This window comes from Homo sapiens, chromosome 3, assembly GCF_000001405.40.
Source record: "Homo sapiens chromosome 3, GRCh38.p14 Primary Assembly".
In the NCBI taxonomy this organism is placed as follows: domain Eukaryota; kingdom Metazoa; phylum Chordata; class Mammalia; order Primates; family Hominidae; genus Homo; species Homo sapiens.
In genome coordinates this window covers 11,464,370-11,490,972 of record NC_000003.12, presented here as the reverse complement: position 1 = coordinate 11,490,972, position 26,603 = coordinate 11,464,370, and the positions used below count along the sequence as shown (strand labels likewise).

Below are 26,603 nucleotides of genomic sequence, written 5' to 3'. Positions count from 1 at the left end.
CTCCTCAAGAAGAGCAACTCCAAGACACATAATTGTCAGATTCACCAAAGTTGAAATGAAGGAAAAAATGTTAAGGGCAGCCAGAGAGAAAGGTCAGGTTACCCACAAAGGGAAGCCCATCAGGCTAACAGCTGATGTCTCAGCAGAAACTCTACAAGCCAGAAGAGAGTGGGGGCCAATATTCAACATTCTTAAAGAAAAGAATTTTCAACCCAGAATTTCATATCCAGGCAAACTAAGCTTCATAAGTGAAGGAGAAATAAAATACTTTACAGACAAGCAAATGCTGAGAGATTTTGTCACCACCAGGCCTGCCCTAAAAGAGCTCCTGAAGGAACCACTAAACATGGAAAGGAACAACCGGTACCAGCCACTGCAAAATCATGCCAAATTGTAAAGACCATGGAGGCTAGGAAGAAACTGCATCAACTAACGAGCAAAATAACCAGCTAACATCATAATGACAGGATCAAATTCACACATAACAATATTAACTTTAAATATAAATGGACTAAATGCTCCAATTAAAAGACACAGACTGGCAAACTGGATAAAGAGTCAAGACTCATCAGTGTGCTGTATTCAGGAAACCCATGTCACGTGCAGAGACACACATAGGCTCAAAATAAAAGCATGGAGGAAGATCTACCAAGCAAATGGAAAACAAAAAAAGGCAGGGGTTGCAATCCTAGTCTCTGATAGAAGACTTTAAACCAACAAAGATCAAAAGAGACAAGGCCATTACATAATTGTAAAGGGATCAATTCAACAACAAGAGCTAACTATCGTAAATATATATGCACCCAATACAGGAGCACCTAGATTCATAAAGCAAGTCCTGAGTGACCTACAAAGAGACTTAGACTCCCACACAATAATAATGGGAGACTTTAACACCCCACTGTCAACATTAGACAGATCAAAGAGACAGAAAGTTAACAAGGATACCCAGGAATTGAACTCAGCTCTGCACCAAGCGGACCTAATAGACATCTACAGAACTCTCCACCCCAAATCAATAGAATATACATTTTTTTCAGCACCACACCACACCTATTCCAACATTGACCACATACTTGGAAGTAAAGCACTCCTCAGCAAATGTAAAAGATCAGAAATTATAACAAACTGTCTCTCAGATCACAGTGCAATCAAACTAGAACTCAGGATTAAGAAACTCACTCAAAACCGCTCAACTACATGGAAACTGAACAACCTGCTCCTGAATGACTACTGGGTACATAACGAAATGAAGGCAGAAATAAAGATGTTCTTTGAAACCAACGAGAACAAAGACACAACATACCAGAATCTCTGGGACACATTCAAAGCAGTGTGTAGAGGGAAATTTATAGCACTAAATGCCCACAAGAGAAAGCAGGAAAGATCCAAAATTGACACCCTAACATCACAATTAAAAGAACTAGAAAAGCAAGAACAAACACATTCAAAAGCCAGCAGAAGGCAAGAAATAACTAAAGAGCAGAACTGAAGGAAATAGAGACACAAAAAACCCTTCAAAAAATTAATGAATCCAGGAGCTGGTTTTTTTGAAAGGATCAATAAAATTGATAGACCACTAGCAAGACTAATAAAGAAGAAAAGAGAGAAGAATCAAATAGACGCAATAAAAAATGATAAAGGGGATATCACCACCAATCCCACAGAAATACAAAATACCATCAGAGAATACTACAAACACCTCTACGCAAAAAGACAGCAGTAACCTCTGCAGACTTAAATGTCCCTGTCTGACAGCTTTGAAGAGAGCAGTGGTTCTCCCAGCATACAGCTGGGAAAATCTAGAAGAAATGGATAAATTCCTCGACACATACACCCTCCCAAGACTAAACCAGGAAGAAGTTGAATTTCTGAATAGACCAATAACAGGCTCTGAAATTGTGGCAATAATCAATAGCTTACCAACCAAAAAGAGTCCAGGACCAGATGGATTCACAGCCGAATTCTACCAGAGGTACAAGGAGGAACTGGTACCATTCCTTCTGAAACTATTCCAATCAATAGAAAAAGAGGGAATCCTCCCTAATTCATTTTATGAGGCCAGCATCATCCTGATACCAAAGCCTGGCAGAGACACAACCAAAAAAGAGAATTTTAGACCAATATCCTTGATGAACATTGATGCAAAAATCCTCAATAAAATACTGGCAAACCGAATCCAGCAGCACATCAAAAAGCCTATCCACCATGATCAAGTGGGCTTCATCCCTGGGATGCAAGGCTGGTTCAATATATGCAAATCAATAAATGTAACCTAGCATATAAACAGAACCAGAAGAATCATTCACATCTTGAGAGGAGGTCACGGCGCCGGAGGCCCCAGAAGGCTCGAAGGCCCGCGGGCTGGGGTCGGTGGCTTAGGGAGCCCGTCCGGCCATGGTGGCCGCGGGTGGTGGTTGGCGCCGCTGCGCTGCGGCCCGGGGCAGTGCGGAGCCGGGACAGTCGCGGCGCTGACACCCGCGGGCCCCAGCTGCAGATATGAAGCGGAGCCGCTGCCGCGACCGACCGCAGCCGCCGCTGCCCGACCGCCGGGAGGATGGAGTTCAGCGGGCAGCGGAGCTGTCTCAGTCTTTGCCGCCGCGCCGGCGAGTGCCGCCCGGGAGGCAGCGGCTGGAGGAGCGGACGGACCCCGCGGGGCCCGAGGGCAAGGAGCAGCCGCCTGCCTTGGCCTCCCAAAGTGCCGAGATTGCAGCCTCTGCCCGGCCGCCACCCCGTCTGGGAAGTGAGGAGTGTCTCTGCCTGGCCGCCCATCGTCTGGGATGTGAGGAGCCCCTCTGCCTGGCTGCCCAGTCTGGAAAGTGAGGAGCGTCTCCGCCCGGCCGCCATCCCATCTAGGAAGTGAGGAGCGCCTCTTCCCAGCCGCCATCACATCTAGGAAGTGAGGAGCGTCTCTGCCCGGCCGCCCATCGTCTGAGATGTGGGGAGCACCTCTGCCCCGCCGCCCCATCTGGGATGTGAGGAGCGCCTCTGCCCGGCCGAGACCCCGTCTGGGAGGTGAGGAGCGTCTCTGCCCGGCTGCCCCGTCTTGAGAAGTGAGGAGACCCTCTGCCTGGCAACCACCCCGTCTGAGAAGTGAGGATGCCCCTCCGCCCGGCAGGCTGCCCCGTCTGAGAAGTGAGGAGCCTCTCCACCCGGCAGCCACCCCATCTGGGAAGTAAGGAGCGTCTCCGCCCGGCAGCCACCCCGTCCGGGAGGGAGCTGGGGGGGGGTCAGCCCCCCGCCCGGCCAGCCGCCCCATCCCGGGAGGGAGGTGGGGGGGTCAGCCCCCCGCCTGGCCAGCCGTGCCATCCGGGAGGGAGGTGGGGGGGTCAGACCCCCGCCTGGCCAGCCGTGCCGTCCGGGAGGGAGGTGGGGGGGTCAGCCCCCCGCCCGGCCAGCCGCCCCGTCTGGGAGGTGAGGGGCGCCTCTGCCCGGCCGCCCCTACTGGGAAGTGAGGAGCCCCTCTGCCCGGCCAGCCGCCCTGTCCGGGAGGGAGGTTGGGGGGTCAGCCCCCCGCCCGGCCAGCCGCCCCGTCCGGGAGGTGAGGGGCGCCTCTGCCCGGCCGCCCCTACTGGGAAGTGAGGAGCCCCTCTGCCCGGCCACCACCCCGTCTGGGAGGTATGCCCAACAGCTCATTGAGAACGGGCCAGGATGACAATGGCGGCTTTGTGGAATAGAAAGGCGGGAAAGGTGGGGAAAAGATTGAGAAATCGGATGGTTGCCGTGTCTGTGTAGAAAGAAGTAGACATGGGAGACTTTTCATTTTGTTCTGCACTAAGAAAAATTCCTCTGCCTTGGGATCCTGTTGATCTGTGACCTTACCCCCAACCCTGTGCTCTCTGAAACATGTGCTGTGCCCACTCAGGGTTAAATGGATTAAGGGCGGTGCAAGATGTGCTTTGTTAAACAGATGCTTGAAGGCAGCATGCTCGTTAAGAGTCATCACCAATCCCTCATCTCAAGTAATCAGGGACACAAACACTGCGGAAGGCCGCAGGGTCCTCTGCCTAGGAAAACCAAAGACCTTTGTTCACTTGTTTATCTGCTGACCTTCCCTCCACTATTGTCCCATGACCCTGCCAAATCCCCCTCTGTGAGAAACACCCAAGAATTATCAATAAAAAAATAAATTAAAAAAAAAAAAAAAAAAAACAGAACCAAAGACAAAAACCACATGATTATCTCAATAGATGCAAAAAAGGCCTTTGACAAAATTCAACAACCCTTCATACTAAAAACTCTCAATAAATTAGGTACTGATGGGACATATCTCAAAATAATAAGAGCTATCTATGACAGACCCACAGCCAATATCATACTGAATGGGCAAAAACTGGAAGCATTCCCTTTGAAAACTGGCACAAGACAGGGATGCCCTCTCTCACCACTCCTATTCAACATAGTGTTGGAAGTTCTGGCCAGGGTAATTAGGCAGGAGAAGGAAATAAAGGGTATTCAATTAGGAAAAGAGGAAGTCAAATTGTCCCTGTTTGCAGATGACATGGTTGTATATCTAGAAATCCCCATTGTCTCAGCCCAAAATCTCCTTATGCTGATAAGCAACTTCAGCAAAGTCTCAGTATACAAAATCAATGTGCAAAAATCACAAGCATTCTTATACAGCAATAACAGACAAACAGCCAAATCATGAGTGAACTCCCATTCACAATTGCTTCAAAGAGAATAAAATACCTAGGAATCCAACTTACAAGGGAAGTGAAGGACCTCTTCAAGGAGAAATACAAACCACTGCTCATGAAATAAAAGAGGACACAAACAAATGGAAGAACATTCCATCCTCATGGGTAGGAAGAATCAATATCATGAAAATGGCCATACTGCCCAAGGTAATTTATAGATTCAATGCCATCCCCATCAAGCTACCAAGGACCTTCTTCACAGAATTGGAAAAAACTACTTAAAAGTTCATATGGAACCAAAAAAGAGCCCGCATCACCAAGTCAATCCTAAGCCAAAAGAGCAAAGCTGGAGGCATCACGCTACCTGACTTCAAACTATACTACAAGGCTACAGTAACCAAAACAGCATGGTACTGGTACCAAAACAGAGATATAGATCAATGGAACAGAACAGAGCCCTCAGAAATAACGTCGCATATCTACAACTATCTGATCTTTGACGAAACTGAGAAAAGCAAGCAATGGGGAAAGGATTCCCTATTTAATAAATGGTGCTGGGAAAACTGGCTAGCCATACGTAGAAAGCTGAAACTGGATCCCTTGCTTACACCTTATACAAAAATTAATTCAAGATGGATTAAAGACTTAAATGTTAGACCTAAAACCATAAAAACCCTAGAAGAAAACCTAGGCATTACCATTCAGGACATAGGCATGTGCAAGAACTTCATGTCTAAAACACCAAAAGCAATGTCAACAAAAGCCAAAATAGACAAATGGGATCTAATTAAACTAAAGAGCTTCTGCACAGCAAAAGAAACTACCATCAGAGTGAACAGGCAACCCACAAAATGGGAGAAAATTTTCACAACCTACTCATCTGACGAAGGGCTAATGTCCAGAATCTACAATGAACTCAAACAAATTTACAAGAAAAAAACAAACAACCCCATCGAAAAGTGGGCGAAGAATATGAACAGACACTTCTCAAAAGACGACATTTATGCAGCCAAAAAACACATGAAAAAATGCTCAACATCACTGGCTATCAGAGAAATGCAAATCAAAACCACAATGAGATATCTCACACCAGTTAGAATGGCAATCATTAAAAAGTCAGGAAACAACAGGTGCTGGAGAGGATGTGGAGAAATAGGAACACTTTTACACTGGTGGTGGGGCTGCAAACTAGTTCAACCCTTGTGGAAGTCAGTGTGGTGATTCCTCAGGGACCTAGAACTAGAAATACCATTTGACCCAGCCATCCCATTACTGGGTATATACCCAAAGGACTATAAATCATGCTGCTATAAAGACACATGCACACGTATGTTTATTGCGGCACTATTCACAACAGCAAAGACTTGGAACCAACCCAACTGTCCAACAACGATAGACTGGATTAAGAAAATGTGGCACATATACACCATGGAATACTATGCAGCCATAAAAAATGATGAGTTCATGTCCTTTGTAGGGACATGGATGAAATTGGAAATCATCATTCTCAGTAAACTATCGCAAGAACAAAAAACCAAACACTGCATATTCTCACTCATAGGTGGGAATTGAACAATGACAACACATGGACACAGGAAGGGGAACATCACACTCTGGGGACTGTCGTGGGGTCAGGGGAGGGATAGCTTTAGGAGATATACCTAATGCTGAATGATGAGTTAATGGGTGCAGCACACCAGCATGGCACATGTATACATATGTAACTAACCTGCACATTGTGCACATGTACCCTAAAACTTAAAGTATAATAATAATAAAATAAAAGAAAAAGAAAATATCCTGGATCACCAAGAATCTGCTAGATGTGCCAATTTTGTCCTAAATTATGGATTAAAATGCTGAAAAAGACAGCTTTGAAGACTTAACCCTTTTGGGTTTGTCGTTTTTGTGGTTTTTTTGTTTGTTTGTTTTTTCATTTTTTGAGACGGAGTCTCCTGTCATCCGGGCTAGAGTACAGTGGCATGATTTTGGCTCACTGCAGCCTCCGCCTCCTGGGTTCAAGTAATTCTCCTGCCTCAGCCTCCTGAGGAGCTGGGATTACAGGTGCACGCCACCATACCTGGCTGATTTTTGTGTTTTTGGTAGACACGGGGTTCTACTGTATTGGCCAGGCTGGTCTCGAATTCCTGGCCTCCAGTGATTCACCTGCCTCGGCCTCCCAAATTGCTGGGATTACAGGTGTGAGCCACTGTGCCCAGCCTGAAGACTTAACCGTTTTGGCCTATCACCTTCCTCTTAGGCTGCAAACTATCCTTTGTGCAATACTACCCATATAATACATGCCCATAAGTAATTGTCAAATTATACCAAATTCTACCCTATATCAAAGAGTGCTATAATTATATTTTTAGGGTAATGATGGAATTTATCCCAATACTTTCTTGCTAGGTTCATTTTCTCTCTCTCCATCTTTCTTGCCCTCAGAATGCTGGGAACACAATGTAGCCTACGAAGCCCAAGGAATAAACATTGTGCCAATAAGATGTTCTTTAAATTCTACCGTAGAGTCCATCCTGATTGGCTGCAGGGTCATTGTGTACAAAACCCACTGCATTAAAGCAGATAACATCTGTGAGTCCTCCGATTTCCTATTTGGCTCCAGTGTCAATATAATAATAGTGTCTTGTAGATATTTTTACTCTAGGATAAACAGATTAAGCTCCACTTCTATATACAAGGATTTGAATATGGCAGAAGAAGCCAAAATGGGGGCTTTCTGTGTACCTCCTGTAAAATAACCTGCTCATCACATTCCTTGCCACTGACAATTCAACATGCTTGACATTCGCACATCGGAAGGGGAGTGCAGTGGTTACTCCTCTTCAAATGTATTCCCTACCCCCAAGAAAACTCAAACATAATCAAGGGAAAGATAATCCTACTTTGACAGAAAAAGGAAAGCAAGATCTGTGCGTGTTGGGAGCTCAGTGGATATCTGACAATTCTAAGAACCACAGTCTGATTCTTCTTAGAAAGACTATATGGTGATTTTGGGCAGCTGGAAAATAGGATGAAGCTGCCCTGGTGTCTGTTTCTCTTCTCGTCAAGCTTCTGTGATGCCAAGACTGACCAGAGAGGATGGGGATATCACTTTACCTCTCCATGACCTGGGTTAGGGGCAGGGGGACGGGGAGAATGCTTATTAAAATGTGAGGGGCAAGGAGAGCAGAAAAGGGATTTCTAAATTTACCACTACTTTGGTTTCTTTTTGCCACAATAGCTGATAATTTTGCATTCTTACATATTAAATAGGAGAGGTGGGACTTAGAGGTGGGTATAGGTGGAAAAACGTTGAGAATCCCAAGTAACTAGGGTGATAGAGGTCAGAATTGTAGTTATCATTAGGGGTACTGACTGTAAGGGGCTCAAGGGGGGGCTTCTCAAGTCCTGGAAATGTTCTATCTCCCAATCTGGGTGGTATTTACATAGGTATATAGATAACAAAAATTCAGTGAGATGTATACTTAAGATATATGCACTTAATTGTATACAAATGATATAAACCTCAAAAAAAAAAAGGTACAAAAATGATAATAAAAGGGTTGAAAAGCACTGGATTAGTAGCCTGGCACTAGATATCCCCTATAAATCATGGTGCTAGTATGGAAGAGGTCAGCTCTCTATCACTCAGATGTTTATAAGATATACAAGGATACTATAAATTCGGGGAGGCTGATCAATTACACCACCTATCAAAGTACTCTAGTCTTTCAACAAATGGAATTCTAGCTCTCAGTAAGGCCCAACTGTACCCTAGACCCAGGTGGAGCAGGGGGACCTACAAGGAGGAAGGGAAGGGTGACAGCCCCCAGATACAACTTTCCATTCTACTGAAGGAGTCAGCAGGCCAAAGTACCCACCAAAAAGATACGGTAGTAATAAGCATCTTTCTTTGCTGCTGGCTACAGACTGAGGGACAAGAGGTCAGAAGAAGCCAAGGGAAGAGATTCCAACCTAAGGGAAAGGTGGTGGGTCTGAAGAGTAAGATGGTGAGGACATGGGGTGTTTCTTGAAAGAGCTCGGAGCCCAAACACCAGGAGATGCTGAGCGCTGTTGTGTTTCCACAGCTGCTGTGGCGCCCAGCCAAGGGCTCAGGGAGAGCCATTCCCCTTCTCACAGAACATCAATATACTTCTCTCATGAACTTTCCAGTTGGAAGGAAGCGGGACAGAGCGGAGCACAGAAAGCAGTGATGAGAGAAGGAACCGGGGCATCAGGAGAGAGAGAAGAGGATTCTTAGGACCGCTCATGAGCTCCCACACGTGGAGAATTAAGGGCTCCTTGAAGCCCCATTTCATTACAGCCCTTTGTCACAGGAGGAGCCTCAAGGGCAAGGGGCATGACACTGACTTACCACCTGCTAGGTCCCCAGCATAGCACTAAGTGCTCTCACAAACATTCCCGTGTTTGGGCCTGACAACTCTTGCCAGGCCAAAGGCCTTTGGCCTTCACTCCCATCTTACAGATAAATAAACTGCGGTCCACAAAGATTAAATGACTGGTGCACAGCCACACCCCTACTCAAAGGCAGAGGCAGGAACCAGAGCCTAAAGCTCAGGGCTTTATCCACTTCACCAAGTCTCAAGATAGGAGCTGAAGCCCTGTGCTCCAAGCTCAACAAAGCTCTCGTCATTCTTGGCACTGTGGTGGTGCTGACATTAAGTCCAAGGCCCAACCCAGGAAAGGTTATACAATTCATTAGAGGAGATCCTGCTCTTATTTCTGATGCAAAGGATAATAATTTGTTAACTTAGATAAGATCTTAGGTAATATTCTCATAACAGGACAAATCTGAGAAATAATGACCTCAGCACCTGCACGTAAAATATAAGAAATGTGAAATTCTAGGTCTTTGTGGTAAGTCACATACACTTACATTTTGCTAGGGGAAATATGTGAAACTTAAAACTTACAGCAAATACATAGTTCACCTTGACTTTAAAAAAGTGTAAGAACCCTAAATTTTTTTATCATCGTAAAATATATCTAACAAAACCTACAATTATAACCATTTTTAACTGCACAGTTCAGTAGCGTTAAGTGCATTCACACTGTTGTGCAACCGTCACCACCATCCATCTCAGAACTTCTTATCTGCCCCCAGCTGAAACCTTGTACCGGTTAAACCCTAACTCCTATATTTGTTCTCAACAGTAGGTGCTTACACAGTGCTCTGCACAAAGCACATGCTTGGGAAATGCTTGCCGAAGAAAACAAATTTATAGTCATACAAGAGGATCAACTATTACATAAATAAGACATTAAAGGGAGTACATTTTTTCCACAACTGAAGACTAATAGTATCCCTTGCCTAGAAGAATTAAGAGTAATTTATGACTTGTTTACACTCCTGGCACCAACTCTGATCATCTGCTGTGACCAGGACCTCTTGCTCTCCTCAGATGTATTAGCAGGTGGTAGTGAAGTCTAATGCTGGACTGGGAAGAAGAGAGGCCCAGCCGGCCAGGACTGGAGGCTACTTGCCGAGCTGTCACCCAGTGGATAGGCCCTCCTCGCTCTCCCAGGAAAGCCTTCCTTGACAGATTTGTGTGACTTGGCAGTGAATTGTTATGGAAATTCACTGAGAAGCCTGGGTTTCAAGTCCTTGTGAGCAAAGCTTTCAAAGAAGTCTTCTGCATACATTCCCAGCCCAGAGGGGAGGCAGAACCTTCCCAGATACCCTTTAGGTGAAGTCGAGGAAACCAGTGAGCACAGATTGTAAGGTTTTTTTGTCTGTTTCTTGAAACAGGGTCTCATACTTTGTTGCCCAGGCTGGAGGGCAGTCATGTGATCATGGCTCACTACAGCCTCGGCCCCCTGCCGCAAACCATCGCACCCCCTCCCAATAATGCTCTCAAGCAATCCTCCCACCTCAGCCTCCCAAATACCTGGGACTATAGGCATGCACAACCACGCCCAGCCAATCTTAAATGTTTTTGTAGAGACAGGGTCTTGCTGTGTTGCCCAGCTGGTCTTGAACTCCTTCTGGCCTCAAGCGATCTTCCCACCTCAGCCTCCCAAAGTGCTGGCATTACAGGCATAAGCCACCCACACCCAGACAGGTTTTAAAAATTGATTCCAGGCCGGGTGCGGTGGCTCATGCCTGTAATCCCAGCACTTTGGGAGGCCAAGGCAGGTGGATCTCGAGGTCAGGAGATCGAGACCATGCTGGCTAACACAGTGAAACCCCGTCTCTACTAAAAATACAAAAAAAAAATTAGCTGAGCATGGTGGCGGGCACCTGTAGTCCCAGCTACTTGGGAGGCTGAGGCAGGAGAATGTCGTGAACCCCAGAGACGGGACTTGCAGTAAGCCGAGATTGTGCCACTGCACTCCAGCCTGGGCGACAGAGGGAGACTCCATCTCAAAAAAAAAAAAAAAATTGATTCCAGGGCAGGCAGTGCAGAAGCCTGGAAAACCTGAACAAATGACCCCTTCAAATCACTATTTCATATTCTAGTAATGGTACACAGCCCTAAGTGGAGAAGGAGAGATACAGGCAATTTGGTGGAGGGAGGTTAGCTGGGTTTATTAAAAACCAACCGAGGGACAATGCATACATGCAGCAGTGACCAATGGCATGTCTCCCTTTTCTTTTGCTAAAGCTCCTCCATTGGGGATGATTTTATTTTATTCTTATTTTTATTTATTTATTTTTTGACTCTTGACAATTGCTATCCAATAGCTTTTCCTTTCCTTTTTAGAAAACATGCCTTACTTTGGGCTTCCAACTTGAAATCTGAGGCTGGGAGGGTGATTCTGGGCTGGTGGACTTGGACTAGTTGAAAGATGCACTGCTCCAAGAGAGGGGATCGGTCAATATCTGGGCTTTGGAAGTAACTTTACGATGTTTGGATTTTGTGCTGGCACCAGGCTCTGGGTTTTAAGCACTCTGCTGTCATATGGTGTGTGGCCTTTCCAAGAAAAACTCTATAAAATGAAAATACTTTATTGCCACGGCCTTTGACTTCTTGAAATTCACACAAATATGGTAATCTCTTGCAACATTTAATTTAAACTCAGTTCACCTAAAGAAAAAATTAGCTCTGAACCTGCCCAATTCACTTTTTGAAAGGTGCCAGTCTTCTCTGTGGAATCACTGTTTTATTTACTATGTGCCAAACTGTTATTTCATATATGTGAAAAGAAAATTGGCATCAAGTCCATATGAACTAAACTACTGGCAAAGGCAATGCTGGAGCCTGCCATTGAGAAGATTAGATTCCCAAGAAACTCTTCAAGTGGTGGCCAGTATCCACAAAGTAAAAAATTGTGTGTGTGTGTGTGTGTGTGTGTGTGTGTGTGTGTGTGTGTGTGTGTGTTGTAAATATACAGGCACATATTCAAAGTTTATTTCTCCTTGTGTGTTCAGGTAGTACTCTACAGCCACTTAAGTTACCCAGAGCTTAAATATCTCAATTATATACATAAATACTTATTAAATAATAAATGCATGTTAATAAGAGAAACAGGAAGTTGAGAATAACTTTAATTCAAGTTTGGGCTTGCACATTCAATTGTCTTATTTGCTAAGTAGGATGATTCATAACTTCTCCATAAGGAAGACTGATTAGATCATGTTTGGGGGTGGGGGTGTTTTTCTTTTAAATTTTCAATTGTTTTCCTTTCCTTTTGGGGCTTTTTTCTATTTAAGTCTGCTGTTTTGCTGACTGTTTTGCCTTTGCACTTGCAGATTCTAATATGGAACCAAACCAAGAGAGAAACAGAGAATTTTATTATCCAAAGCTGTTGTAAGTGATTTAATAGTCAGAGATAGTGGCTAAAAACGTGCTCTCTGGAACCCCAGATTCCAAATCCCTCATGATAATGTAGCCATGACAGCCACATCATCATAGCAGGCATCTTTAATATGCGCCAGTCTCATCTCTTCAGGACCTTGTCCTTAGACCACACCATTAATGGGTGTTTGGTTCTCAATAATGATTACAGGTAAGATTAGGCAATCATTTGAAACTCAGATGAATACTTTCATACCTTGGTCTTACAAAATGGGATGTTTCTAAAAGAGAGATAGAGATTCATTCTGGGAAAACATTTAAATAATTTTTTTTAAGTTTGGATACTTTAGATTTTCATACTCATTTTTGAAAATAATCACCATGTTTTTCTCAGTCATTAGCTACCACCGATGGGGTCATACTAATAATGTCTCTAACAAGACTGTCGGTCACAGGACTCCAACTTCCTTGCCCTACCCACAGGTATTACATGGGATCCAGGCAGGATAATCATACTGTGCTATTTACTCGGCAACAGGAATTAGTCCAGGGATGGGTATATGAGCCAAGTAGGGGCAATCAGAATCCTTTCCCGAGACTGACTTATGAAAGGTAGAAGATAGAGACTGCTTTCCACTGGAGTTAAGCTAAGAAGATGGGAGTCTGGGGCTACTGATATCAGGCCTGTTTCCTGCCACAGGGAGAAATAAGCTGTAAGACTATTCTCAGAATGAAGCCAAACACAGGCAAGCTCAGCTGAGACATGGACAGAGAATGCGTCTAGGCTGTACTGATTCCCAGTTCCTAGCCCTGAGTCCTGGTTCCTGCAGTTCTTCCTGTAATCCTATGAGTAGTTCCAGTAACATTCCAACTACATAAGCAAAAAAATTCCCCCTTGTTCAGGTTGGTTAAAATTTGCAACTTACAACTGAAAGAGTTCTGAATAACTCAGGAGGGCCATCTTAACTTTGGAATCACATTCCTGCTAACTTCTATAGTGACTAAAAAGCTTTCCAGCTGTGTCTAACAAACGCCCTTATCTTTTGCGGCAACTTTTTGTTTGTGGCATCCTGTATCAATTTATATATCAAGAAATAAGTGCTGACATTTATAAATTAGAGGGAGAAAACATGCTGATGCTTGTGTTTAAAAGAAATAGAATTATATAAATACACTTCTATCCATTTAGCATTTCACAGCACATGGAGAAACTTACATTCATTACTGAACGTATTTATCGATTCAGGAGTTTGTAGCACAAAAATTCTTATTTACATTTTATTTTATCATCATTGTTCATCTACCTTATGGAACAAAGCAGCCAAGAATCAGATGGGCGAGGAATAAAAGATTCCATTCACAGAAGTGCTTGATTCTTCCGTCCATTTGTTTATGTTCTGCCTCTCCTGCTTCATCCAGAGCCGAAGATCTCAAAGATGCTGGCAGGTACAAACATGCTCCCTTTTAATTACACCACCAAATTGCTGCAATAACTGATTGCCAGTTAAATAATTATAATCAAGTGCCCATTGTGCATAACAATCATTTAATGACTGCCATCGGAAAACACTGTAATAAAGAGGGCTTTAATAAGGAAAACTGGAAAGGTGCCAGGGTTTTATGGCAGTTTGCTTAAAGGGAAAGAGGGCCATAATCTGTATTTAAGATTAAAAGAAGCCTTTAATCCAGATGCTCAACATTAAACAAGGGAGTGGAGTCATGTTTTGATCAAAAGTTACTACATGCATAAAAGAAAGTTAACATAAATGTTCTTTCAGAAAAAAGCTCCAGTAAATTATATTAAGTAAGTGTTTGTAACCATTTGCTTTGGAAAAAAATGAAAAAGAAGAAAAACATCTGATTTTCATTTTGGACAAGAATACTCGGCTAAAATAAAATAAATGGGAATAGAGTTTTATTTGATTTGTATAACATCATTGAGAATAAAGTGAGTTACCATTCCATCTACCTTGTACCAGTAATCATTCTCCTTCTATTTGTCCCTATTTATTTTTTGTACTCACTTTTCAGGCCAGGACTCTATCTCTGGGAGGAGTAATTATATTCTGATACAAGGTTCTAATTGAAATGGTTTTATCTCAGCTCTAGCAAACAGTAGTTCTCATCTAAGGAAAAACCAAAAAAAAAAAAAAAGAAAAACCACATAAAGTTCAGGTCAACTGGTGGCAGCTACCAGCCATTGTTGACGCATCCACGGCATTGAGCTAACACATTAGGACAGCTATTCCTAGAATTGTGCCCATTTTCTACAAACTGATATGTAGCCAGATTTTGCTAGAGTGAATGAATGCTGGGAGAAAACTAACAGCAACATAGTAAGCCCTCTCAAGGAAGAAGGAAAAGAAAAAGCCAGAACCAAAGCAAAAACTGTTCTTACAGGTGACATCAGTTTTGAGGTCCAGCTTTCTCTACACCTTAGGGTACAAAGGAGAGGACCTGACCCTTTGCAGTGTGGTTTCTGTGCACACATAAACACCCTAGTCCTTGGGAAGCTGTGATGATGCCTTGCGGCTATGAAAAGACCCCTAGAGCCTGTGGGGAAATAAAATCACAGCAGGGGTTCATTTTTTCCCCAATGTAAACATTTCAGACAGGACAACTGCACTGTTAGGAAACTCTAGAATGCTCGGACTCTGGGAGGGGGTGTGTGTGTGTGTGTGTGTGTGTGTGTGTGTGTGTGTGTCTCAGAGACAGAGAGATGGACATAGACGAACCAAAGTTAAGAAATAATACCAACTGCCTACTTAGGGTACAGGGTATCAATGGGTCAACAGGTTTTGCAAGATCATTTTAGCTTAAAACTGACCTAGCAGGTATAGGAATTCAATTCTGACACTGGGACATTTTTCTGACATGCTAAGTTAACAGTATCAACAAATTCTCCTTCAGGAGCTTGCCATGTTCTGCTTTGGGTGAGAGGTCTACCTGATCACCTGCTGATCTGCAGACTGCAGAGGGTAGCATCCGCGTCTGTTTTATCTAAGCCTCCCCCGCAGCCCTTTTCCCAGCAGTTTACATGCAGGCCGCCCTGGGATGTGTGCTCCCAACAGGGGTCTTCTCTTTTGCACCTCAAAGTCCCTGCCAAACTCCAGGTCCTGCCATGTGAATCCTGACGCATCTCGCCAGCCCCCTGCCCATCATGCAGCTCTGGTTCCCTTTCCTCACTAAGGAATGCTCAGAACCTAGGCTCTGTCCACCTCAGATTCCTCCTTTATAAGAAGTGACATTAATAATAAGCCCAGTGGATAGGGGCTTTGTGGGTGTGTATAAGGACTTGAGGAGGGAATGCACATAAACCCGCATGACTGGAACACAGTAGGTATTCAAGAGATGGGAGCTATTATTGTTACACATCATTAGCTTTAGGAGCAAATCCAAATTCCCTGGCCTGGTCTATGATGTCAATAACAATAACAATATAATCTACCTTGCCCAGCATTCACCCCAAACCTTCTTATTTCTACTCCTCTATAACCCAATCCATTCCCCACACAGTGGCCAGGATTTAAAAAAAAAAAAAAGTTAAGTCACTCCTGTTACTCTCCTGCTTCAAACACAACATAAGCTAGGTCTCACAGCCTGCAAGAGCCCGTGTCACGTGCTCCCTCTATTGCCAACCTCACTTCCTACCACTCCCCACTAATTCACTGCACTGCTGCCATACTGGCTCCGGCCCCCCACTCCCACCCCATCCTTAGACTGAGCATGCTTATTCCCTGCTTAGGCCTTCACATGGGATGTTCCCTCCGCCTAGACGAGGGTCATCTCAGCTCCTCACATGTCTGGCTCCTTTCTTTGCATTCCGGGCTCAGCTCAGAAGCCACTTACTCTGAGGGACCTTTACTGACAACCTGCCAGTTTATATTAACTCCTGACATCTATTCTCGACTCCCACCCTCCACACCAATTCATCCAAACACTCTGTTTTCTTTCTTTCTTTTTTTGAGATGGGGAGATAGGGGCTTACTCTGTCACCCAGGTTGGAGTATAGTGGTATGATCTTGGCTCACTGCAACCTCCAAGTCCTGTGCTCAGATGAGCCTTCTACTTCAGCCTCCAGAGTAGCTGGGACCACAGGCGCACACCACCATGCCCAGCTAATTTTTGTATTTTTTGTAGAGCCAGAGTCTCACCATGTTGCCCAGGCTGGTCTCGAACTCCTGACTTCAAGTGGTCCACCTACCTCGGGCCTCTCAAGGTGCTGGGATTACAGGTGTGAAACACCGCACCAGCCTCTGTTTTATTTTAATCACTGTGCTCATCACTAGCTGAAAGTGACTTTTTTCATTTATTTATAGAACTAGAAAAGTAGGCTCCATGAAAACAGAGGCCCTGCCTTGTCTGTCTTGCCACTGTCCCCAGTGCTTAGAAGAGTGCTGAGCATTCAGAAGACACTGGATGAATATGTCGTATCCCCCAGTGAGCCCTGCAAATCACCTGCCAGGTGGTGGCACTTGGCTTACTACACACTTGGTAAGTCTGAACTGAACTCAACTAAGTGGCATATAACCTGGGCACAGATTAACACCTTCCCCTGGCCACTGTCTTGCCAAATCAGATGTATAATGAAGAGTTGGTAAATGTGACCTGTGCTTATCAGGGAGTTCACGGGATCTACAAAGCAGGGGACCTGAGGTTTGAACGTATGCACAGAAATTGAGGGCTCGCTGATGTTTTGGGGTTCAACAGAAGTCTGAGCACAGCACAGTAACCAAATAGTGAATTGGTATATTATGAAACTGGCACTAGGGTTACATTTAAAAATAAAGTCTTGATTTAATATTAATATATATTCCCAGTCAGGTTCAAAGATAAATAGAATCTGGAGGCAGAACTGTTTTCTGAATTTCAACAGCACTGCAAATAGATGATATCACACAGCACTCAGAAGTGACTCTATCTTAAATTCACTCTCATTGTTTCAAATGTGTTAGTCTTGATCCTTGCCTTTAGGTCAGAAATGGGGTCTCATACTTTTCCAGTATCTTAAAGCTTCTAGCCTTATTCTTGGAGAACGGCCTTTCAGGGTTAGTAGACTCAGAACTGAATCCCGAGTTTTTCCATCCGTTCTAAAACATTTGGCAAATTATTTATCCTCCCTTTAGCCTTACTTTCCACATCTTTTTAAGTGGGGATAATGATATCCATCCCACAAAGGGATGCTATGAAAAATAAATGGGATGATTTGCAGGAAAGTCCTGTTGGTATACTTAACAGAAAACAGGTACTCAGTAAGTGACAATTTTCTTCCTGGGTAGGTGATAGCAGTCAGAAAATACTATGTGGCTGCAGAACTGGAGGGAAAAACATGCTGGGAAATAGCTATGCTGACAGTGGCAGGAAAAAAGCTATCAATGGGAAGAAATGAAACAAAGCCCAAAGTGCTATAATGTTTTATTATTCCTCACCATATAAGAGGGAGCTGCAAATATTAGTATTTTATGGCTAGGTCAGAGGGACAAGTGGCAGTCAGGGCTGAATATCAGAAAGTCACCTAATAGCAGAAGCAAGCAGTCACTGAATGTCAGAAATCATTGATTAGTTACAAAAAAAAAGTGAAAGGAAAGTATGCTCCTGAAAAATGCATTTGCTTTAAATCTATGTAATATCAGAGAACTCACAATAGGATTCTAGCTCAAAACCACTGGGAATTTTAAGGATTCCCTGATCTTATCAAGAAAAATAAGATTTCATGAAAAACGGTGTGCAAATCAGCGCATTTGGCATTCCAAGTCTCCAGCACAAACACTGGAGCTATCAGACCAATCACAAAGGCTGGGGTAAAAAAGTCAAAGACAGCAGTTGAACCATTTTCAAAAGTCCTGGGAGGTAGGCATTTACCAAAAAAGGACGACACAAGCCACCTGCTTGGGGTCTATCATACCATTCTAGGAAATAACAGACGTATTAGCAACAAAAAAGAAAGGTAAGATAACCACAGTGGACATCTGTTGCTCTGCTTGCTCAGCCCTTTGATAAACTCACCGGTTTTCTAATTTTTCACCAATTTCTCCCTGGCTCTCAGATTATGTGACTTAGGTGGGACTATTCCACCCCTAACCCTAGAGATAAGAATATATCCCAGATCCGACCAAAAAGAGTTACAGTTCCCCCTTCCTCTACCATAGTGACAGGGTCACTGGTGGATGAGTCAAGCAGGACATTAGCTAGTGCCATTGGGAACAACGCTCTCCTTCCACAGGAGTCACTAAGCTTGGGGACGTAAGCCTGGAGCTACCAATTGCCATCTTGCTAGCAGGAGGCAAGAGCCTGCCTAAAAATGAAGCGATACAGGGAAAACCCAGGCAAGAGGGGGAGATGGAAAGTTTGCTATTGACATTTTTAAAAACTTGGATCTAGTGGAGGTTACATTAGAACTCTCCATGAATTTTTCAGGTTTAAGAACAAATACATTCTCATGTTTGCTTAAATCTGTGTGAGAGTCTAACCTCCAAACAAAAGAGACTAATATAATAATTTTGTAGAGTTTAATCTTGAAGAAATTATCTGAAAAAGGCTAGGTGTGGTGGCTCACGCCTGTAATCCCAGCACTTTGGGAGGCCAAGTGGACAGGTCACTTGAAGTCAGGAGTTCAAGACCAGCCTGGCCAGCATGGTGAAACCCCATCTCTACTAAAAATACAAAAACTAGCTGTGCATGGTGACACACGCCTATAATCCCAGCTACTCAGGAGGCTGAGGCAGGAGAATCGCTTGAACCTGAGGCAGAGGTTGCAGTGAGCTGAGACTGTACCACTGCACTCCAGCCTGGGCGATAGAGACTACATTTCAAAAAAAAAAAAAAAAGAAATCTAAAAAGCCAATCTATGAAGTACTTTTCTGAGTTCTAAAAAAAAAAAGAGTTGGAATATGTGAGACACCGAGACTGGGGAGCCACCTGCATTTCTTATACCATTTGACCATCACCTGGGGAATATAAATGAGACAACACACAGTGAAAGGAGACTTTCTAATTATTATGGCCTTGACCCCAAGAGTCAAACATTTTATTCATTTAAAGTTTCTTATTTTCATCTGCAAAATGGAGACAGTAAAAATTTTTTAAATGTTTTTACTAAGTGCTGACTACATGCCAGGTGTTATGCTAGGTACTGAGGGTATAAAGATGACCAAGTCATATATTTTTTCTCAAGGAGCTCACACATAATGACAATTCAGGTGACAGGTGTGGGGCAGAACCCAAGTAGCCTCTATGAAGAATGAAGGCTTGAAGACCAAGTAGGTGTTTGCCAGGCAGAAGTGTGAGGAGTCCAGAGCGCCAGGGCCAGCTTGAGAGGAAGCTGGGGCCAGCGGTAGGAGCTGTCTGCCGCTGCCATGCTGAAGAGCTGATCTCATTCTGAAGCAAAGGCTAGCCAGCCTTTGGAAGTCCCTGAGTAACATATTCATATGTGTGTTTCCAAAAGGGCCGCCTGGTTGCTACCATGGAGGGTAGCCTGGAGGGGACAGAGACTAAGGGCTGGGCTCGCTAGGGCCTGCTCTAGTCAATGAGAAATGGCTATGGGGAGTTTGATGGAGAAAAGCCAGGCTAGGAGGGAAGTGTCTACAGTTCTAATTCAAAAAACACTGAAAACAAATCCCATGCAGATGACTGGAGAATAATTCTGGAGAAGGGGACTATCTGCACCTCAAAGGAGAAAGACTGAACGAGAGTAATACGGCAAGAAAGTAATAAATGCCGGTGCCTTCCTCAGACTTGGAGTCCGAGCTCCTCCCAAGTGTTCTCTCCTCAGCCTAAATCCCATCTCCTCTCCTGGCTCGGCTCAGTTCCCGAGGCCCTTCAGGGAAGGCCTCTACTCCATGTCCTCTGGTGGCCCCTGTGGCCCTCACATTATGTCAGCCCACACATTTTCTTAGACCTGTTCACTGACACACCTCTGAGCCTCAACTTCCCCATCTGTAAAATGGGAATGCTGACATTTACTTCAGGAAAAGGACAGGATGAAACATGATAGATTTTGTAGAGCACCCTGCACATAGCCTGGCATGTTATCAGCACTCAGTAAGCAGTGACACACCACATAATGACGTTTCGGTCAACAATGGACTGCACATATGAGGGTGGCCCCATAAGATTACAAAATCCACATTTGTGTGGTACCTTTTCTATGTTTCCATACTCAAATCCTTACTATTGTTTTCCAGTTGCCCACAGTGTTCAGTACACTCACAAGCCATCCAGGTTTCCACCATAGCAGCAATAGGCTGGACCATATAGCCTAAGTATGTAGCAGGCTATGCCACCTAAGGGTGTGTAAGGACATTCTATGACAACTGATGTAATCGCCTAACAATGCATCCCCATCGTTAAGTGATGTGTGACTACAGAGGTGCCACACTCCTGCTGAAGATGAAGTAATTTGCACTGCTAGAAAACAAAGACATACTCACACCAGGCAGCAGCTTTTCACTTGCCAGGGATTTCCAGATCTTACAGTTAACTGAATTTCGTTGTAAGCACAAGGTAGAGGTGCTTTGTTGGGTAGCTGAAGCACGCACAGCCCAGTACACCATCTCTCTCTCTCTTTTTTTTTTTTTTTTTTTTTGAGATGGAGTCTCGTTCCGTCACCCAGGCTGGAGAGCAATGGCACAATCTCACTCACTGCAACCTCCGCCTCCCAGGTTCAAGAGATTCTCCTGCCTCAGCCTTCCAAGTAGCTGGGATTACAGGTACATGCCACCATGCCTGGCTACTTTTTTTGGTATTTTTAGTGGAGATGGGATTTCACCATGTTGTTCAGGCTGTTCTCAAACTCCTGAACTCAAATGATCTACCCCGCCTCAGCCTCCCAAAGTGCTAGGATTACAGACAGGAGCCACCATGCTTGGCCCCAGTACACCATCTCTAATAGCCTGTAAGACATTAGCTGGGCTGCAGTGGACAGGGCTAACTGAGAAGAGGAACGTCAATACTCCTGAGCTGGGACATGCAGCTCCCATCCTATACTTCCTCAGGTGAAAGGCCAAGTGTATCATCACTCCTTTAAGAGTATGGAGATGAACATTTTGTCACAGAGGAAAGAAAATCAGTGGACTAATAGGTAGGTTTGTTGGTGGCATGATTTTATTTTACTTTTTTTTTTTTGAGGTGGAGTTTTGCTCTTGTTGCCCAGGCCGGAGTGCAGTGGCACGATCTCAGCTCACCGCAACCTCCACCTCCCGGGTTCAAGCAATTATCCTGCCTCAGCCCCCCAAGTAGCTGGGATCACAGGCATGCGCCACTACGCCTGGCTAATTTTGTATTCTTAGTAGAGATGGGGTTTCTCCATGTTGGTCAGGCTGGTCTTGAACTCCCGACCTTAGGTGATCCACCTGCCTCGGCCTCCCAAAGTGCTGGGATTACAGGCATGAGCCACTGCACCCGGCCTTATTTTACTCTTAAAGCCAGATCTATAGCTATATTTTGTTCACAGAATTGCCTGCTACCCTCTTCAACCATCTCATCTTCTGTTGACAGGTCAGGACTTGATTCACAATGGGCCTAGCTTAATTGTGTAAATAAGCAAACTCAAGAAGAGATGAGAGAGCCATCATGCAACAACCCAACAAGATTGGGCAGCTGTGCACCGCTTCAGCTTTTCCATCCTCAATCTGCCCACACACAGCCTGGAGGGCCAGAGGGGCAAATGTGCAGTCTACAAACATTACAAAAATACATTAGGTCCACTCAGGGTCATGGTTCCAAATCTATTTTAGACCAAAGATGGTATCTGTTGAGAGTCTGATGAAACCGAGCCTCCCTGGCTGCCCATAATACACACACGTAACATTTTGCGTACAGTCCCTGGGCATTCAGGAAGCATCCCCATCCCAAGCCCACCTGTGGTCCCACAGGCATTTAGAGGAACAGGTCACAGGGCTTGAAAGAATGAAGTAGTGGGGGATCAAGAGTTCCTCTTTCTAGGGCTGTGTTTTCTCCATGACACAGTTCATAGCATGAACGTCCCTCTCTGTGGGGATCGAGAGGGCTAATGAATGATGTGAAATCCAGAGCCCAAACACTGACCTGTCAGCTTGTCCTCAGTGGCCCAGTGCCTAAGTCCCAGCAGCTGTGGAAAACTTCAGAATCTTATGACTTCCAAGGTGGTAAGTAAATAAAAGTCAGAGGATGGACTGGGGACATGGAGTGGGGAGGAGGATAGGCGAGGCATGATCCAGGCCTTGGAAAAAGCCATCAGTTCTTCCAGGGAAGTGGCGGGCTGGCCTGTGCTCTCCCACTAGCTCCACTTACCCCTTCCATTCTCATTCTTCACTTACGCAGAGACTGCAGATTCCTCGGGTGATTGGTACCAAAATCCAAATGGTAAAAATAATTTGCTAAATACCTTCCTAGACAAATTGAAATCCAAGACCTTTCTGAGCTGTGTCCAGCCATACCTCAAAGGGCGAGCAGGGATGAAAGTCACGCTCTTCTATAGCTGAATTTCTGACTCAGACTTCTGCCTGTCAACCTTCTGATGTCACAAGTCAAACTGTGCCATCAAAGGCTGAGTAAGCATCTTTTGGAAATAGAAACTCAACTGTAAGAACACCAGTATTTCCAAACGCAAAACAACTCTGCCCAGTTTCCAAGTCAGCTACTGTATATAAATTTAGCCATGACACTGGGGGAGGAATTCTTTCTAATTCTGTATTATTTTGGCAAAAAAATTCAAAGGTAAAAATATTAAGTAACAATAATGTACCAGTTACTTTGTTAGGCAAGACATATAAAGCAGTAAATAAGACATATAATGTCTTTGCCTTTATGGGGATTATATTTGAGTGGGGCTGGGGTGGTAGACAGAACACAAATAAATAATAATGCCAAACGGTGATAAGTCCCACATAGGAAACAGGACAAAGGAATAAAAAAATAGGGCCAGGCGCATTGGCTCACGCCTGTAATCCCAGCACTCTGGGAGGCCAAGGCAGGTGGATTACCTGAGGTCAGGAGTTCAAGACCAGCCTGGCGAACATGGTGAAACCCCGCCTCTACTAAAAATACAAAAATTAGTCAGGCACGATGGTGGATGCCTATAATCCAGCTACTCGGGAGGCTGAGGCAGAAGAATCGCTTGAAGCTGGGGGGCGGAGGTTGCAGTAAGCCGAGATCGCACCATTGCACTGCAGCCTGGGCGACACAGGGAGACTCCATCTCAAAACAAAACGAAACAAAACAAATTACGGTTGAGGTAATATTTTATGTCCATTTTACGGATTAGGAAAATGAGAACAACAGGTTAGGTGAGTTGTTCAAAGACTTCCCAGCTAATAAGTAGTGAATTTAAACTCAGGTTGGTCTGACTCCAGAGTTGTTACTAACCACTGCCCCATGCTATCTCTTTGGCTTCCTGAGAAACCAAAGAATCTGCAGAAGTGATAGGGTTAAGAAGCCATCAGTTTTTTTTGTTTGTTTTTGTTTTTTTCTGAGATGGGGTTTCACTCTTGTTGCCCAGGCTGAAGTGCAATGGCATGATGTCAGCTCACTGCAACCTCTGCCTCTCGGGTTCAAGTGATTCTCCTGCCTCAGCCTCCAAAGCAGCTGAGATTACAGGCGCCCGCCACCACACCTAATTTTTTGTATTTGTAGAGATGGGGTTTCACCATGTTAGTCAGGCTGATCTCAAACTCCTGACCTCAGGTGATCTGCCCGCCTCGGCCTCCCAAAGTGCTGGGATTACAGGTGTGTGCCACCATGCCCAGCTCCATCATTATTTTTAAAAGTCCCTCCATTTAGGACATAAAAATTTCTGAGATCTGTGAACACAAATGAGTGTACTACAAGCTGTCATTCTGATGCTAATGCATCCAACAGTTGAGTTTCTATAGATGATATTGAACATAAAGGTGCTATAATCCTTCATACAACCCTCTGAGAACTGCTTTTTCCGAAAAGAGCAGTAAGAGCACAAAGGCTTACAGAGTTTAAGAAACCTGTTGTAAATAATGGAACTTATAAGCACCGACGCTGTAGTCTAGGCCTCGTGCCTGTGACTACAGTGCTTTTTCCATTACACCATGCTGCCTTCCAGAAGAGTCCCCAAGGAGTTACATTTTTCTCCCACTGGGAGACAAGGCAGTAACTAACTTGGCAGAACAGAAAGAAATGAGTGACTGTTTTGTGTCTCTGCCAAGCAAGTATTCATGCCCTTTGCAATATGACGTGGACACAAAACCAACTGATCTTTAGCAGCTAAGCATTCTAGAATTTGCTGAAGAATTTTCTCACCTTACCCGTATGGGGTCCAAAATTAAGAGGGGAAAAACATATTTATGTCTCATTCAGAATTCAAAAAGCAATAAATCCTTCAAGCCCCTGGCAAGTTTCTTTAATCCACTGTAATCATGTTTCCTTGTATAACAAGTCTTGTGATGTCTGCAGCAGCTTCTCGCTAGAGGAACAGCAGCCTCAATGCTGGAGTTCTTCTCATGCCTGGGGGATTATTCCATTTTCCACATTAGGAATAAGCCGCAGACTTTAGGTTCTAAAACGGAGCCAGAAAATGCTGACTAGAATCCAGATGCCCTAAATATAATTAGAGCTAAATTTTACTGCCCTCTGTGAAAGACACAAATGAAAAGAATGTACCAACTTTCAGAATATTGATCCAGAGAGCAAAGTTATGAATAGAGCCAGCATGGGTTCTGCTGCACTGAGAGGCCCTTAAAGCTAACCAGGGGCTTTCCAATTCTCTCCCCTTCTTCTTATCCCTGGGTTTTTAATTTTTATAGAAGCCAAATATATTAGGGAAGGAAGAGGGGCTACAGGCTTTTTTATTTTTATTTTTTTGAAGCAGGGTCTCGCTGTCGCCCAGGTTGGTGTGCAGTGGTGCAATCACTGCTCACTGCAGCCACGACCTCCTGGGTTCAAGCAATCCTTCCCCCTCAGTTCTCCAAGTAGCTAGGACTACAGGTGTGTGCCACCACGCCCAGCTAATTTTTATTTTTTATTATTATTTTTTACTAACTTTTTGTAGACATGGGGTTTCACTCACGCCCAGGCTGGTCTCACACTCCTAGCCTCAAGCAATCATCCCACTTCGGCCTCCCAAAGTGTTGAGATTACAGATGTGCACCCAGACTTACAGGCTCATTTTTTTTTTTTTTTGAGACAGAGTCTCTCTCTGTCACCCAGGCTGGAGTGCAGTGGCGTGATCTTGGCTCACTGCAAGCTTTGCCTCCTGGATTCACGCCATTCTCCTGCCTCAGCCTCCCGAGTAGCTGGGACTACAGGTGCCCACCACCATGCACAGCTAATTTTTGAATTTTTAGTAGAGATGGGGTTTCACCGTGTTAGCCAGGATGGTCTCGATCTGGATCCACACGCCTCGGCCTCCCAAAGTGCTGGGATTACAGGTGTGAGCCACTGTGCCCGGCCCAGGCTCATTTTAATAAACCAGGTTTTCACTCAGCTCTAGAACTCTCTGGAGGTGTCCTTACACACACACACACACACACACACACTTTAGGTTTTTAGAGATTGATTTGATAAGAAAAAAAATTTTTCCTTTACAGCCAATGACTTCTCTCTACATCTTTAATAAGGCTGTGATTGTTGATGACGATGATGATAGATGTGGCATCTGTTGAGTGTTTACTATGTGCCCAAGAACTGTGCAAAGTGCTTCAAATACATTATATTACTTAATCCTAACAGTACCCAAACAAGGTTGCTATTTCCATTTTATAGTAAAGGGGCCAAGTCCTAGGATGACTCTGCAACTTGCCCAAGGTGTCACACAGCAAAGAAGCAGTAGAGCTATAATTTGAAAATAGGGGGTCAGACTCCAGAACCTATTCGGCAATAAAAGGTAAAAGCCCTGTCCCCTCTGCAAAAAGCCACTGCTTCTAGCTACTCGCAATGACTTTCACAGAAATAACTTTCTGTATTTGTCTTTCGTTTGGGGGATATTTAATTAAATGGTATAATTAAAACAACAAGTCCATCTGGCATTCCCAGGTTTGGCAAGAAACAAGAATGACTCTTGGAAAGCCCAGGCCTCAGCTGGTGGGAGCAGAAGTGTGCTGGTGTCCTAGGAACCAGGCTGCCAGCTAAGAATGTTCAGCCTCCCCCCGTACTTTACCGAGGGGGTGCGGAGTTAACCAACTGGGACATTCCATTAATGGAAAGTCAATTAGAAAAGATTTACTGAATACATAATTTTTTAATTTTTAATTTTGAG

At 44.4% G+C, this 26,603-nt stretch overlaps 1 protein-coding gene across 33 annotated transcripts in view, besides 1 other annotated feature; it reads right to left on the bottom strand.

Moving 5' to 3' along the window:
• The window catches only part of ATG7 (autophagy related 7), a 303,957-nt gene that overhangs the window by 85,381 nt on the left and 191,973 nt on the right, over window positions 1-26,603 (bottom strand). For 3 of the 33 annotated variants that reach the window (XM_047447294.1, XM_047447302.1, XM_047447305.1), the window contains one exon: window positions 13,665-13,839. The exons of the other annotated variants lie outside the window; for them this stretch is intronic. In XM_047447294.1, coding sequence (XP_047303250.1) covers window positions 13,831-13,839 — 9 coding nt within the window. In that variant the 3' untranslated portion in view covers window positions 13,665-13,830. Of the gene's footprint in view, window positions 1-13,664; window positions 13,840-26,603 lie in introns of those variants that run through there. 33 annotated transcript variants of the gene reach the window in all.
• Window positions 9,944-10,549: an enhancer, noted in NCBI's record as "OCT4-NANOG hESC enhancer chr3:11521898-11522503 (GRCh37/hg19 assembly coordinates)". NCBI's record gives its function as "activates a minimal SCP1, AML or CMV promoter by ChIP-STARR-seq in primed H9 embryonic stem cells {active_cell/tissue: H9 hESC(primed)}" and the evidence as "EXISTENCE:reporter gene assay evidence [ECO:0000049][PMID:30033119]".